Source organism: Homo sapiens, chromosome 1, assembly GCF_000001405.40.
Source record: "Homo sapiens chromosome 1, GRCh38.p14 Primary Assembly".
In the NCBI taxonomy this organism is placed as follows: domain Eukaryota; kingdom Metazoa; phylum Chordata; class Mammalia; order Primates; family Hominidae; genus Homo; species Homo sapiens.
The window spans coordinates 103453719-103468938 of NC_000001.11; the positions used below are offsets into that span (position 1 = coordinate 103453719).

Here is a 15220-nt window from a genome sequence, read left to right on the forward strand (position 1 = left end):
TTTTATCTCTAATACCCATTTAAAATTCATTAAGTTTGGCTAATCTTTCCTGCCCCTGGGTGGAAAATTGTTTTAGATTTTATTACTTTCCAGCCTACTCTTAGGTAGTAAGTAGTTTATGACTCCTTAAGTCACAAAACACTATCTCAATTCAATAATTATAATATATACAATCAAAATTATTAATCAATGTTTCAATGGCCATTCAAATTATGACTTCTTCCCAAAGCCAAGGCCTATAGTTGCCTTCCTCAACACAATGAGAATGGTTGGTTTTCATCTACGCTTTTCCTTTACATGTCTACCTCCTCCTTCACTGAGTAGCTGTTTTCTCAGAACACTCCAGGGTCAAAGTAAGCAGGAATGGTAAGAGAATGAAATGTTGTTGTCCTTGCTGATTGTGCCATATTCTCTGTGCCTGACATGAGGATCAAAGCTTATTCTCTTATGAGATGCTTTTGTGGATTGGATTTGGAAGTTTCCATAGCTGCGGCATTTCAGTCTCCTGGCTGGATGCTTCCAATTCAGCCCCAAAAAGGTTTCAGTGAGACCATCCAGGAGCTTTATATGTGTTTCCTGATATTGGAGGGTCTTGAAACTTGGAGTCAGACACTTGCCTAGTCTATTTAAAGGGTGAGAAAAGGAGAAAAGGGCTGACTATCTGCTTGGTGTAGAGCCAGGAGTATTGCTGCTGCTTTCAGACTGATATGGTCTGAAATTCAGGTCTATTTTAAGAGACAGTATAATAATGAGATCTTCGCAAAGTACTTAGAATATCCATTTCTTTTTCTCTTATTTTCTATTTTTTTTCATTGGTTCATGTAGGATCAGAATGAAGGATGTTGGCTTTGACAGCATCACTGGTGAGAATTGCTAGAATTTAGGTATAAATAGAAAATGCCCTGGTTACAGTTAAAGATTGAAGTGACTGCATTGCCCACATTTACAACTAACTCTGATATGTGCCCGCTGAAGCAACAAGAGCAAGAAGAATCCAGATAGTAGCTTGCAGCAAACTGTAAACTGCCAAGGCTTTGGGGTACCATTAAATGTCCAGAAGTCTCAATGTGAGTTCAAATGAGGTTGTAGGAAAGCAGAGATAAATGATTCAATAAAACTAGCTTTGTTAGATTAACTGGCAGGAGACTTAGATATTTTCTTTTATGTACGTATGTATGTATGTATGTATGTATGTATGTATGTATGTATGTATTTATTTTTTGGAGACAGAGTCTTGCTCTGTCACCCAGGCTGGAGTGCAGTGGCACAATCTGGGCTCACTGCAACCTCCGCCCCCTGGTTTCAAACAATTCTCCTGCCTCAGCCTCCCGAGTAGCTGGCACTACAGGTGCACATCACCACGCCCGGCTAATTTTTTTTATGTGTGTGTATTTTAGTAGAAATGACGTCTCACCGTGTTGCTCAGGCTGGTCTCGAACTCCTGAGCTCAGGCAATCCACCCGCCTCGGCCTCCCAAAGTGCTAGGATTACAGGCGTGAGCCACTGTGCCTGGCCAGATATTTTCTTTTGAATTTTATTCTTTGTAATAAGTATAGAAGGTATGACTTTCAGTTTCTAAAACTTAAGTGTGAAAAATTACTAACTGTATTTTATTATAAATATACTTAATTTATACTATATGCTCCCATTTTGCTGGGGAGTAGAAATAAACTTGGTCAATTTAGAGTAATCTCAATCATTTCAGTTACTAGTCTTCCTTACAAACACTGCAAGTAAGTCATGCACCTCATAACAAGTAAGTCATGCACCTTGTAACAATGCTTCATTCAGCAATGAACACATATATGTAGTCCTATAATATTATAATATTGTATTCTTACTGTACCTTTTCTATATTTAGATGTGTTTAGATACACTAATACTTACCACTGTGTTACAGTTGCCCAAGTGTTCAGTACAGTAACATGTTGTGCAGTTTTGTAGCCTAGGATCAATAGGTTATACCATATAGCATAGGTCTATAGTAGGCTATACCATCTAGGTTTGTGTAATACACTATATGATGTTTGCACAATGATGAAATTGCCAAATTATGCATATCCCAGAATGAAACCCCATTTTTGAGCAATACATGATGTGTATAAGAGGGTATTATCACACAATTAGCAGGTTATATATGGTTCTCTGCAATCACTTCACACTAACTTCCAATGTGTCGTACATATTTTCTCCTGGTCCCTGTCATTGACCTATGCAGATTTCAGCTGTATCATCCTCCTCTTTAAAATAATTTCTCCGCCAGTCTCTTAGTTCTTTGTGCCATGTCCATGCTACCCTCAGCTCACCGGGAAAACATTCTGCTGCTCTGTAGGCTTTATTAAGAGCCTACAGGGACAAGAGATTCTGAGAAGCCATCTTAGGTCTATTATCTCAGACCTCACCGATCTCTACTCTTTTGTTCTCCATACATGGGGAGGGGACATGGCTGGAGACAGGGGAAGAGAAGGACAGTATAAAGCTTGACAAGTCTGTAAGCTCCACTAGGGAAACTAGTTGTCTTAATTCTAGAACCTCAAGCTTATGTATTTGTTGTATTGTTAATCATCAAACACAACCCAGGCATTGGGAAAACAAAGTATTTAAGAGCCCTTTTCAAATAACATATCGACATCTAAATACCCTTCTTCTGTTTCTTGTCCTCTCTCCAACCCAGGAAATTTTTCTTGGTGGATTTGAAAAAACTGGCTTTGATTGATAATAAGTTTAAGTATTAGAAAGTGACTTTTTCCTTCTATCATTTATTGTGTATACGTGTGTGTTTCCAATTATTTACATCTTTGCTTTTGAAACTTTAAAGTCTATACTTTAATTTTATTGTTGTTTTACTGTTTCACCTCTTTTCTTTTCTTTTTTTTTTTTTTTTTTTTTGAAATAGAGTCTCCCTCTGTTGCCCAGGCTGGAGTGCAGTGGCACGATCTCGGCTCACTGCCACCTCTGGTTCCCAGGTTCAAGCGATTCTCCTGGCTCAGCCTCTTGAGCAGCTGGGATTACAGGTGTGCACCACCACACCTGGCTAATGTTTCATCTCTTTTCTAGGACATAAGCTCAGAAAACCCTGCTTCCTTCCTGCTAGAACTCGGGTTAGTACTAGTGGATATTGGGGGTAGGGTAAAGAATACCATGTAGTAACCAAAAGAGGAAAAATGTATCAAAATGTTATACTGCTACAAAAAGATTAGGTAATTGTGTTTCTTAGAGAAGGCCTATATAATTCAATAATAGTTTCATAAATAGATTTGTATTTGCCTTTAAGGAAAAAATAAGTGTTTTCTGAGTCTTCAGTAATATACATCTAAAATCAGTCTTCAAGTTAGGACTAAGCTAAATACTGGGTGCAACAACATTCTTGGAACAATTATCAGGATCGTTGGAAAGACTAAAAAAGGAATGATATAGTCACTTGCAGGAAGGTGTGTCTAATAAGCTTTGCCTATTTTATTAATAATAAATATCACAATTGGAACATTCTTTGGTTTTTTCATACATGAAACAGAGTACTAAAACCCACAGTGTACCTTAATCACAGAGAGATCTGATCAAATAAAAGTTTCAAAAATAGCTGTGAATTTATTCTCAAAAGTTTAAGCTATGAAATACACCTGAGATTAACTGTAATTACAATAATCAATATGCTCAAATTCTTTCAAATTGGATATAGTCTATGTTTTTATAAAGAATTCCCTAAATTATCTTAGTATTTTAAATCTTTAAATCACTGAATTAAAATATAATTAGACCAAACTCAAATATATTAGAAGAGATGCAAGGTAAAATTATCATATTAGGTTGTATATGATATTTATTATATATGCGTGAGTTTTGTGTATCTATTTGGTATTTTAATCTTGCATCTCTTTCAAAATTATTATATATATATTTATATATGTATTTATATATTCACACACATATACATTAGTAGATGTTTATTTTATAGATTCTAATATCATGCCCTAATTAAACTTCTGTATTGCTCTTCTAGAACATGTAATATGAAGTAAAACTCAATTTCAGTGGTTCTGTACTCTGCTCTTTAGAAAATCTAGAAAAAAGAGTTGCAATGTAAGTCGAAGACAGAACATTGAAATTGATTCATATTTCACAGGGATCTGCAGAACTGTGGGTCTAGATTGCAGCTCTTAGCCACTAGCCAGCTTTGCCTGTATTTCCATGATAGGCTCTGTCTTCACTTTTTAAAATACTAACAGGCTTCTTGTGGGTGGGATCAAATGACTGCCCCTCTCCCTTCACCTGTGAAATTTCAGAGCCTATTTGAAAAGGGCCATTGTTTCCCAGGAATGCCAGTCCTAGTCCAGGAAAGAAAGTCTTCATTTCAACAGGAATTTGGAGCCTGCCTGAGAAGGGCCAGCCAGTTACTTGGTGAAAACTGTGGCAATTCATTCAAGTTCTGAACAGTTACTATCCTGGCCTTACTTGCTTACTTTCAACTCTTAAGCTTTATGACTAATATGTTTTTTCCCTTAAATTATAAATGGGTGTGTGTGTGTGCGCGCGTGTGTGTTTGTGTGTGTGTGTGTGTGTGCGTATCTGTGCTTGCATGTCACAGCAGAGAGAAGTAAGTGCGTATGAAGTGCGGCGTGTGCACAAGCAGTGAGCTGATGAAGAAAAACCTCTCTCCCCAAACAGTGAGCTGCTGCCATGAGCAGGACACATAGGTTCCTCTGTTCCAACTTCTGCCCCTACATTTACAGCACTAGAGTGCATTTATGTGAATAGGCTCATATGTTTAACAAGCATTTTGAAATAGGTTCCCAATAAAATATATTTGTACAAGAATACAAAACAAAGATACAGTACTTGTATTCAAGACCTGGACAGAAGGCCCCTGTCTGAAACACATTAAAAAATAATTTCTAAAGTAAAATTAGGACTAGAAGCCAAAAGAATACATTGCTTTAGGAAGAAAAAAAGAAAAAATCACCTTGATACAGAGTCAAATCTTTCTTGTTTGAGTCTACATGTACTAGCAGTTTTACTATCTAAAGTTCTTACTGTTTAGAGTTCTCTCACATTTTCTGCAAAATGACTTGGAAATTCTCCAAGATTTGTTTATTATACTAATAAGATATTTAAACTCACAGAATCCTTATTAAGAAAATCTACCTTTGCCCCTCAACAATTTCAAATCATCACCCGAACATTCAAACTAACATGTAAAAATAAAAACCAAAAAATAAAAAATAAAAATGAAACAATGATAATGTCAATGAACTTGAAAGCAAAGCATTTCCACTTAATGTGTGTTTATTAACAGAGAAAGAAATAGTGACGCCAATACAGCTTCAGAATAGGATTTTGGAAATATTTTTTCAAGGCAAGGACAAGCAGCCCTGAATATGAAATGACATTATTACTAAATTCAACATCTAAAGATTTTGGAAAGCTTTTTTTATGATTCTGATATGTCACACATTTAATCTCTCATTTAAGAATAAAACACCATTAATTTGTGGTGAACTACCAAAGAATAATTTTCCAAAAAGAATAGTCAAAAATTAGAAAATAGAGTAAAACAGAGGTTAATCAACTCAAACGATGACTTTTTTCTTCTCTTTTCCTTCATCAGATGTTTCCTGTGATCCTGTGCAAAACCTGATGTTGTGACATTAGTAGTCGTTGGACTTGAGGATACATGGTGCACAAAAGGAAGCTTGTCCTTTTGGGACCTGGTTTTGAATCAGTTTCAGACGACAGAAAAATACGCTTTTGTGGCTGCTAAAGTTCAGGAATGAATTCTGGCAGTCTTACCCAATTCCCTAAAGCAGAGTCCACATTACCAACATCTAATTGGCAGGCTTTGCTTGTAACTCCCACTAGGGCCAGGGTAATGAATGGATTTAGTGAAGGTGTCCTGAGTCATCTGTACAGTGGCTGGTCTGGGCACTAAGGCTTTTCCTTATAACCTCCCCAGACATGTCACTCAAGGAGAAGAGAGAGAGGCTTATGTGCACACATAATGGGGACAAGACACAGCAGTTTTATTAAATTGTAGTCCCAAAGAGAATTGTTCTCCTTATTTGATCTAGAAAAGTAAAGAAGTCTTAGGAAAAAAAAACATATTCTTGTTGAATCACTTTATTCTTTAATTTCCATTTTATAAACTTTTATATTTGGCTTGAATATTCAACTATGGTTGAATGGGACTTCATCCAGGCCTACTCCAGATTATTCTTTAGGCAGGCAGGGAAGAAATTTGGACCATTTCTGTCTAGAAAAGCATCTAAGGGTTTACTTTTATTACTAAGTAACTTTTATTCCCTATGTCTGAGAGAGAGAGAAAGAGTTTGGTTACTCCTAGTTTCATACATACCAATAGCATTAAATGTTTAATGTTGATTCATCATTATTATGTTAATTTTAAAAATCATTTATGCCAAATAGTTTGAATGTAGTATTACATCTCCTCTTCAGTAAAGTTCCACCAGTCTCCCAAATCCAGCAATCAAGATTGGACATTGACAACTTCAGTGCCAATAATAGGGCCTCTCTCAAATTAGGAGCATAGGAGAGAGGTTGAGAACAAGAAGAAAATGGCAATCATGGAAAATTTAAAAAGTGATTTGTTGATGTTAAAGAAAACACTCTCACTTTCTACCAAGAGAATTTTGATGAAGTAGTATTGCTTATTTTCTTAACAAGCATTTTTAACACTGATTCCTCTTGAACTCATGTATGAGAGACACTGCTCTCTGAAAGTCACAGGGAATTGTATCTTTAGAGTATTTTCAAGCATTGCTATGTTCTTAAGCCCCCTTCATTTCCCAGAAGCAAAAATCAACACATATATGACACTCCAATTTTTTTAATGAATAAAAAGATAAAATAAAGTCTAAGGAACAAAATCCACATTGAAAAGTTAGGTGCTTTGAACTTTCTCATCACCTTACCAGTGTTTCCGCACGGGCAGTCTAAAAGACAACTCAGCAATGTCTGAATGGAACTGCAAACAATGGCTCCTTCACAAGTTGGTCTTTAATTGATTACGGCTGTGTTTATGGAAGCAGAAGAGAATTTACACAAAATGACAGATTCCCTTCATTCTGAGGGCGTTTTACTGGCATTCATGGTAAGGATGGTTTTTCTATTGAACAGTCTTCCTCTCTTTCCCTACCTATATCCACCTGGTTGCCATCTAACTGAAAAGGCTATAAGTTGATTACTTTATATCACTTTTTATTAGTGTTTTCTGCTCAGTTTTTTTTTTTTTTTAATGGGTAAAATTCACACTTCCTAGGATACATCTCAAGTTCAGAGAATTCAAACAAGGTCTGGTTTCCCTTTGCTTGTCATAGATTCTTATATTAAATACTAGAGAAGATAATTAAATAGAAAAGTATTAAAACTCAATTCAGTAGGGTCTGTCTTCTGTCAATTTGCTTAAGGAACTATGGAAATTGGAAGTTTAGGAAATCATATGATTTGGCTAATTTATTCAGGTAGTAATATCTACTTTAATCATTTAACTATCTAAAAATATAATTTTAAAGCTGTGTTACATTTTATGATGTCTTAGTGCCAGGTAGTGTTATAATCTTTCTACTAATTTGGAGCAGACAGAAATTAAAATTTAGCTATTTAACCTGTAATTGCAAAAAGCTTTTCATTTGTCTGTTAATAGTGACCTCTACAGGTCAATCATAACAATAGCATAGAATCCCTAGGTAGCTGCTCTAGACTCAAGATTTATTTAGTGAACAGTGGTATAATTGTACTATTAAACTTAAAATATCTTAGACCCTCAGTGCCAAACTATATTTTAAATTTTTAAGCTCAAGACAAGAATGTAATTGTCTTATATACATTTGTGGAGTCTAATTTCAAAACAAACTAATACTTGACAAGGTCTTAGCTGATTTAGTCAAAGAGAATTAATAAATTTTGAAGAAATAGCTTAGAAGCAGAAAACCCCAAAGTGTATGTAATGTTAATCTTTTTATAATGTAAAATTAAGAAGACAACATTATATTATAGATTCTTTTTCTGAAAAGTATGTGAATATGGAAAGTTGACATAAAAAAATGAATCTATCTTACCTCAGAGCTTTGACAGTATGTTTTTTCTTATTCACCAAGGAATTACTTTTAAAACAATACTACAAATGAGTAATTGTGGAACATTTGCATTTATAAGACTACATTGTACACTATTGTTTTCTTAATATGTGACTAATGCATGGTTTTTAAATGACAATGTACTTCGATAAGTCCACACAAGTTAAAGTATCCTGGTTTGAAATACTAAATTTGATAAGTTTACACAAATAAACTGAGAAACATTTCAATATTGCTACATGTAATTAAATTATATATTGGACTTTTATTCTAAAACTTTCTTTTACTCAAGTCAGCTAAAAAAATATTCAATTAAATAACTAAGCTTTCTAGTTTTGATGTTATTTTTCTCTAGTTAAACTGGATGTTCTAATGAACCGCTGAAAACTATAAATTCATACATCACATTGTTCTGACTCCAAACTCTTATTCTTTCATCTACTTCCTGTATTTTTGACTTCACTGAGCCATCATGTTCACTGAAATCTCTATATTTTTCCTAGCCATGGCACTCTCTTGTTAATACCTTACATTCCTTGACTCTATTCTATTTGTGCCACTAGGCTAGCAGAACTCCAACCCTCAATGTCTGCTTTTCTACCTTGGTAGGCCTATTCTCAGAAGGAGGAACTTGACAATATGAGAATATGATTAAGAAATACAAGTATTTCCCAGTAAAATGAGGCAGAATCTCTTGAAAATAACAAGATATGATTGAAATATCTTTGGCTTTCTGAAGTTAATTTTAGTCAATATTAAATGAATTTTTGCTCTCCCATTTACTTGCTAAGACTCCCTCTAAGCCTCAATTTCCTCTTGTGTAAAATGAGCATAAAAATATCTATATCATAGAAAAATTAGTATGAGTGGATGCTTAATATTTGAAAAGCACTTGGAATAGTGCTTGGCACAGAGCTTTATATGTGTTAAAGAAACTGATTCTACTAAAATTCACACAACAGTAATGAGTCAGAATTTTGAAAAATCTTGGAAGTACTCATTCTGTCTCATGTCTTTAAAAATGTTCTGCTTCTAATCTTGCCATTAAAAATGGAAACCTATTTTTATGCATGCCACATACATTTCACTAATTATGTTATTAACTCTGTAGTGCATTTTTCAATAGAATACTGAAAATGATATTTACTATATTTTTATTTTAAAATTATGCATAATCACCTCACATCCATTAGAATGGCTACTATTAAAACTAACAAAGAAAATAAAAAAAAAAAAAACAAGTGTTGGCAAGCATGTAGAGAAATTGGAACTCTTGTGCATTCTGGTAGGAATGTAAAATTGTGCTGTGGCTATAGAAAATAGTGCGGAGATTCCTCAAAAAATTAAAAATAGAATTACCACATGATCCAGCAATCCTACTTCTGGGCACACGTCTAAAAGAATTAAATGCAAAATATCAAAGATATATTTGCATATTGTGTTTTTTTATAGCAGTACTATTCACAATAGCCAAGAGGTGGAAGCAATCCAAATATCCACTGATAGATAAGTAAATAAAAAATGCAATATTTACACACACACACACACAATGAGATATTATTCAGCTATAGAAAGGAAGGAAATCCTGTTACATACATGGAATGTATGTAACACATGGAATAACCTTGAGGACATTATACTAAGTGAAATAAGCTAGTTACAAAAACACAAATAATATATGATTCTAGTTATATGAAGTATCTAAAGTAATCCAATTTATAGATAAAGAAAGTAGAATGGTGGTTGCCAGCAGCTACAGGGAAAGGGAAGTGGGGAGTAGTTAATGGATATAGAGTTCCAATTATGCAAAATAATGATGTTCTGGAGATCTGTTGCACCACAGTGAGAATATACTTAGCACCTCTGAACTGTGCACTTAAAAATGGTTAAGATGGTACATTTCTGTATGTTTTTTTACCAATATTAAAATTTTAAAAATTATGCAATATTTTAAGCATAAAGGAAATTTTCCAAAATAATATATTAAGCATCCCTGCGCGCATCACATACATAAATACTACGAACTTAAGATTAGAGAAGTACTTCCTGGATCTTCTTGCCTGAATGTCATGAAGATCTGTATTCTGAATATAAGAACCTGTTATAAAAAAGGGTTTGGAGGGAGAGAGCAGATATATAAATATATAAATAATCTGATAAGGCTCAATTTAGCAGTAGATATAAGGTAGTCTAGATGATGAAAAGATGTTCTGAATTCAGATATTTTGTAGAATGCATTCAGGTACATTGCAGAAGTGATAAAATTTTGTTTAATGATGTCACTTTTTCTGTCCCCCAAACTCTCACCAAAAATGCCTAATTCTTTAGAATAAGTTCCATGAGAACAAAGCAAAAAGAATATCTGTAGGAAAATATTAAAGGTAGCTTCACTTTATTTCAAAATCTCATGGCAGATTGCATACCTAATCCATCTATTTATCAATCTGACCAATTCTGACCTGGGATGATTGAAATACACACAGTAACACATTTAATTTATTTTTTAAATAAAGGTAGACTTATAGACAAACAGTAGGCAGAATCTGGTTGATTTGTTAGACAATGAAGATTGTGCTAATTAAATTAATGTTATTTTTCATATATTTAAAAAATAATTCAAAAATATTTAAGGAGTTTGATAAAATAAAAATATTTTTATAGAATATTAAATTAGCAATTATTATTCTGGCTCCTTTTGCTTAATTGTTCCTTCCTCGATTTATCACTTTCCTCTCATATTTTACTATAAGCAGCAAAAAGAAACCAGGACACACTTTCCATACTTTCACAGAAATCTCTTCAGCTAAGTATTCAAGTTCATAACTTACGAGTTAACTTTCCACCCACTGACAGAATATAATTCAGCCAAGTTTTCTGCTACTTTATACCAAAGACTGCCTTTCTTCCTATGTCTAATAACATGTTCTTTATTTCCAGCTGAGCCCTCACCAAAATCTTTTTTAACATCCATATTTTTATCAATAGTCTTTTCAAGACAATCTAGGATTTTTCCATCATTCATTTCAAAAGTCTTCTAGGCTGTACACAGTACTCAATTCCAAAGCCACCTCCACTTTTTTAGCGTTTGTTACAGCAGCCTACTCTATACCCTACTGTCAGTATCAAAATCTGTATTAGTTTCTTAGAGTTGCCAAAATAAAATGGTTCTGAACAAGGATTTTCAAGGGACTCTGGACAACCTAGTACAGTAGGCATTAAATTGCCAAGGCATTTTTCATGTTATTAAAGTGGATTTTTTAAAAAATGAAGTGTTTATAATACACAATGACAATTACATACTTTTGCAACTTATTAAACTTTCAGCTTATAATAAAAAGTTTAGAAGTCAACTTAGAATATGTGTGGTACATAATTTTTCAAAATTATTTGGAGTTGCAGCACTTAGAATAAATACAATTATATAGTGCAAAAGCTTCTTTTTTTTGGAAACTCGAGGAGGTTTTAATAAAATTACCATATGATACAGGACTTTAATATACCATTTTAGGATTCAGAACAAGTCAAAGGTACACAAGCATATATAAATATGAAAAGTTTTAGAATAATTAATGGGAAAATTAAGATGTATGTTTGTGACACGAAACTCTTAAAGTGTAACAAATTTTCCATATGATATTGATTGGTATTCAGTAGTTTGACCACACTGAGATTTGTCTGTCATCAATATGATCCAATACACTTGAATGAAATAGAATGGGGATAGAAAAAGTCTAAAATAGTAAAAGGTGAAAGATTTATATGACTTGAAGAGAAACCAGAAACATATGAAAAAATGCTCAGCATCACTAATGATCAGGGAGATGCAAATCAAAACCACAAGGTGATACCACCTTAATCCTGCAAGAAGAGCCATAATCAAAATTCAAAAAATAATAGATGATGGCGTGATGCAGTGGACAGGGAACACTTCTATACTGCTGGTAGGAAGTACAGCCACTATGGATAGCAGTGTGGACAGTCCTTAAAGAACTAAAAGTAGAACTACCATTTGATCCAGCAATCCCACTACTGGATATCTACCCAGAGGACAGTAAGTCGTTATCTGAAAAAGATACTTGCGCACACATGTTTATAGCAGCACAATTTGCAATTGCAAAAATGTGGAACCAACCCAAATGCCCATCAATCAACAAGTAGATAAATAAACTAGTATATATATATATATATATATATATATATATATATATATATATGATGAAATAATACTCAGCCATAAAAAGGAATGAACTAATGGCATTCACAGCAACCTGGATGAGATTGGAGACTATTATTTTAAGTGAAGTAACTCAGGAATGGAAAACATCGTATGTTCTCACTCATAAGTGACAGCTAAGCTATGAGGGTACAAAAGCATAAGAATGACACAATGGACTTTGGGGGCTCAGGGGAAAAGGGTGGAAAGCAGGTGAGGGATAAAAGACTACAAATTGGATTTAGTGTATACTGCTCAGGTATTGTGTGCACCAAAATCTCACAAATTACCACTAAAGAAATTACACATATAACCAAACACCACCTGTTCCCCAATAACCTATGGAAATACAAAAAGAAAGAAAAAAAAGAAAAAGTCTAAAATAGATTTTATTCACGATGTAATGAAGTACAACTTACCTACTGTAACCAGTTTTATTTTTCTATATCCATACCTTGCAAGGGATATATGTTTCTTGTAGCTATGGAAGCATTCAGAGCTTTTCATAAAGTTTGATTTGACCCAACTGTCTTATAAGAACATCTTCTGTTAAGGAGATATTGTTACTGCTGCTAAAGCAGCAATCCCCAACCTTTTTTGACACCAGGAACCAGTTTAGTGGAAGACCATTTTTCCATGAACCAAGTGTAGGGGGATGGTTTTGGGATGATTCAAGCACATTACGTTTATTGTGTACTTTATTTCTATTATTATATTGTAATATGTAATGAAATAATTATACAACTCACTATAATATAGAATCAGTGGGATTCCTGAGCTTCTTTTCTTGCAACTAGATGGTCCCATCTGGGGGTGATAGAAGACAGTGACAGATCATCAGAGCATCAGGCATTAGATTCTCATAAGGAGTGGGCAACCTAGATCCCTCGCATGCACAATTCACTTTCTTTTTTTTTTTTTCAGACAGAGTCTCACTCTGTTGCCCAGGCTGGAGTACAGTGGTGCAATCTCAGCTCACTGCAACCTCTGCCTCCCAAGTTCAAGCCATTCTCCTGCCTCAGTCTCCCAAGTAGCTGGGACTACAGGCTCACATCACCAGACTGGTGATTTTTTTTTATTTTTAGTAGAGATGGGGTTTTGCCATGTTGACCAGCCTGGTCTCCAAATCCTGGCCTCAAGTGTTCCATCTGCCCCGGCCTTCCAAAGTGCTGGGATTACAGGTGCAAGCCACCATGGCCAGCCTGCACAGTTTACAATAGGGTTCACACTCTTATGAGAATCTAATGCCATCACTGATCTGACAGAAAGTGGACTTCAAGTGGTAATGTGAGCTATGGGGAGCGGCTGTATATACAGATGAAGTTTTACCCACTCACCCACCACTCACTCACCTCCTGCTGTATGGCCCAGTTCACAACAGGCCACAGACTGCTACTGGTCTGTGGCTTGGGGGTTGGGGACCCCGTGCTAATGGAATCATTTTTGGAACATAAGAAACCATATCTGAGTTGTCTTAAAAAAAAAAAAACACTGCTGAGTTTTTATCAAGCAGTGGAAGTGGAGAAGGGTATTTCAGGCATAGGATATGGAATGAGCAAATGCATGTGGGCATGAGAGAGCATGGTTAATTGGAAGAAGAGCAAATGGTACAGTCTGACTGCAGCTTAGGCTACTCTGGGAGAATGTAGAATGTGGGACCCAGATTATAAAGGTGGATTAAGGAGATGGTGCTAGGTAGAGGGCAAAAGCAGCCTGGGAGGTCACTTACGAGGCCTGATAAAAGCCAATAGCTGTTCAGAAAGCTTTATTTTAAGAGTTAGTAGGGATGTAGAATCAATTAGATTTTGTGATGTGAAAATCAAGTGGGGAAAAAGTTCTAAAATTAACTCAAGATATATGGGTTGGGTAGCTATTGGCCCCAATGGAGATGAGAAAAGAAAAAGCATCTTTAACATTTTCAGGTTCTATGTTGTGTGTGTGTGTGTGTGTGTGTGTGTGTGTGTGTGTGTGTGTGTGTGTATTTGTGTGTATGTATGTTGGAGAAATAGAAAATGAGACTGACTCACCTTTTTTATTATGAGGCAACAGGTACATAGATATTCATGAAAAAAGGGTTCATGTTGTTCCCAGTTTTTTGACATTTATCATTAGAAATAATTTCTAAAAATCATCAAAACTTTGACAAGCTTCAGAATAACAATAAAATAGATAAATGAGGCAGACCTCCTAAAATGTGATACAAAGACATGGAAGCTTATTTATCCACCTTTTTCTAGAATATCATATTAAAGAAAAAACAACGGGCTTAAGGCTATGAAATTTGACTTCCAACCCACAACTCACTAGTTTTGTAACCTTCAGTGGGTCCAAGGCTCAGTTTTCATAACAATATGTTTCTTCAGTCTCTAAAAACTCTGTAATGTTAATCTTTTCCTTGTGTTTTTTTCTGAACTAGACATTATTTTTCTCCATTTAAATTTTTAGAGCCTTACCCCATGTATTCTTAGGTGAATTCCTTTAAACCCACAGTTGGAATTAGACATCTTTGAATACCCGCCTTCATTTTACTTCATTCTTCAAGTGCAATAAATAGTAGAAAATAATGAATTACAATTGCTTTTTGTATAATATTTATACTCATACAATTTAAAAATATAATTTAATAGGTAGGTATACAAATTAATGTATGCTTGATTTTTTTAATGTTGACAAAATTATGAATAATTTAATTATTTTTTTTAATAACATGCAATACTCCATAAAACGTACAGTATTTATTATGCTATATCGGTAAACACATTTTTCTGGAGAATGTTATTTTTTAGAACTTTATTTTTTAAGCCTTTAATGTAGTGCTTGAAGAATTAGAAATACAGGATGATGAAGCTACAGGTGTGAACAGCCTTTAATTACTCCAATGTAAATTAAATTTATAGTTTTGAAAAAACCTAAAGGA

General features: G+C 34.4%; 1 long non-coding RNA gene across 3 annotated transcripts in view; it reads right to left on the reverse strand.

Annotated features, from left to right (window-relative positions):
* RNPC3-DT (RNPC3 divergent transcript) overlaps positions 1-15220 on the reverse strand; it is a 108529-nt gene that overhangs the window by 36739 nt on the left and 56570 nt on the right. The gene's annotated exons all lie outside the window — the stretch shown is intronic.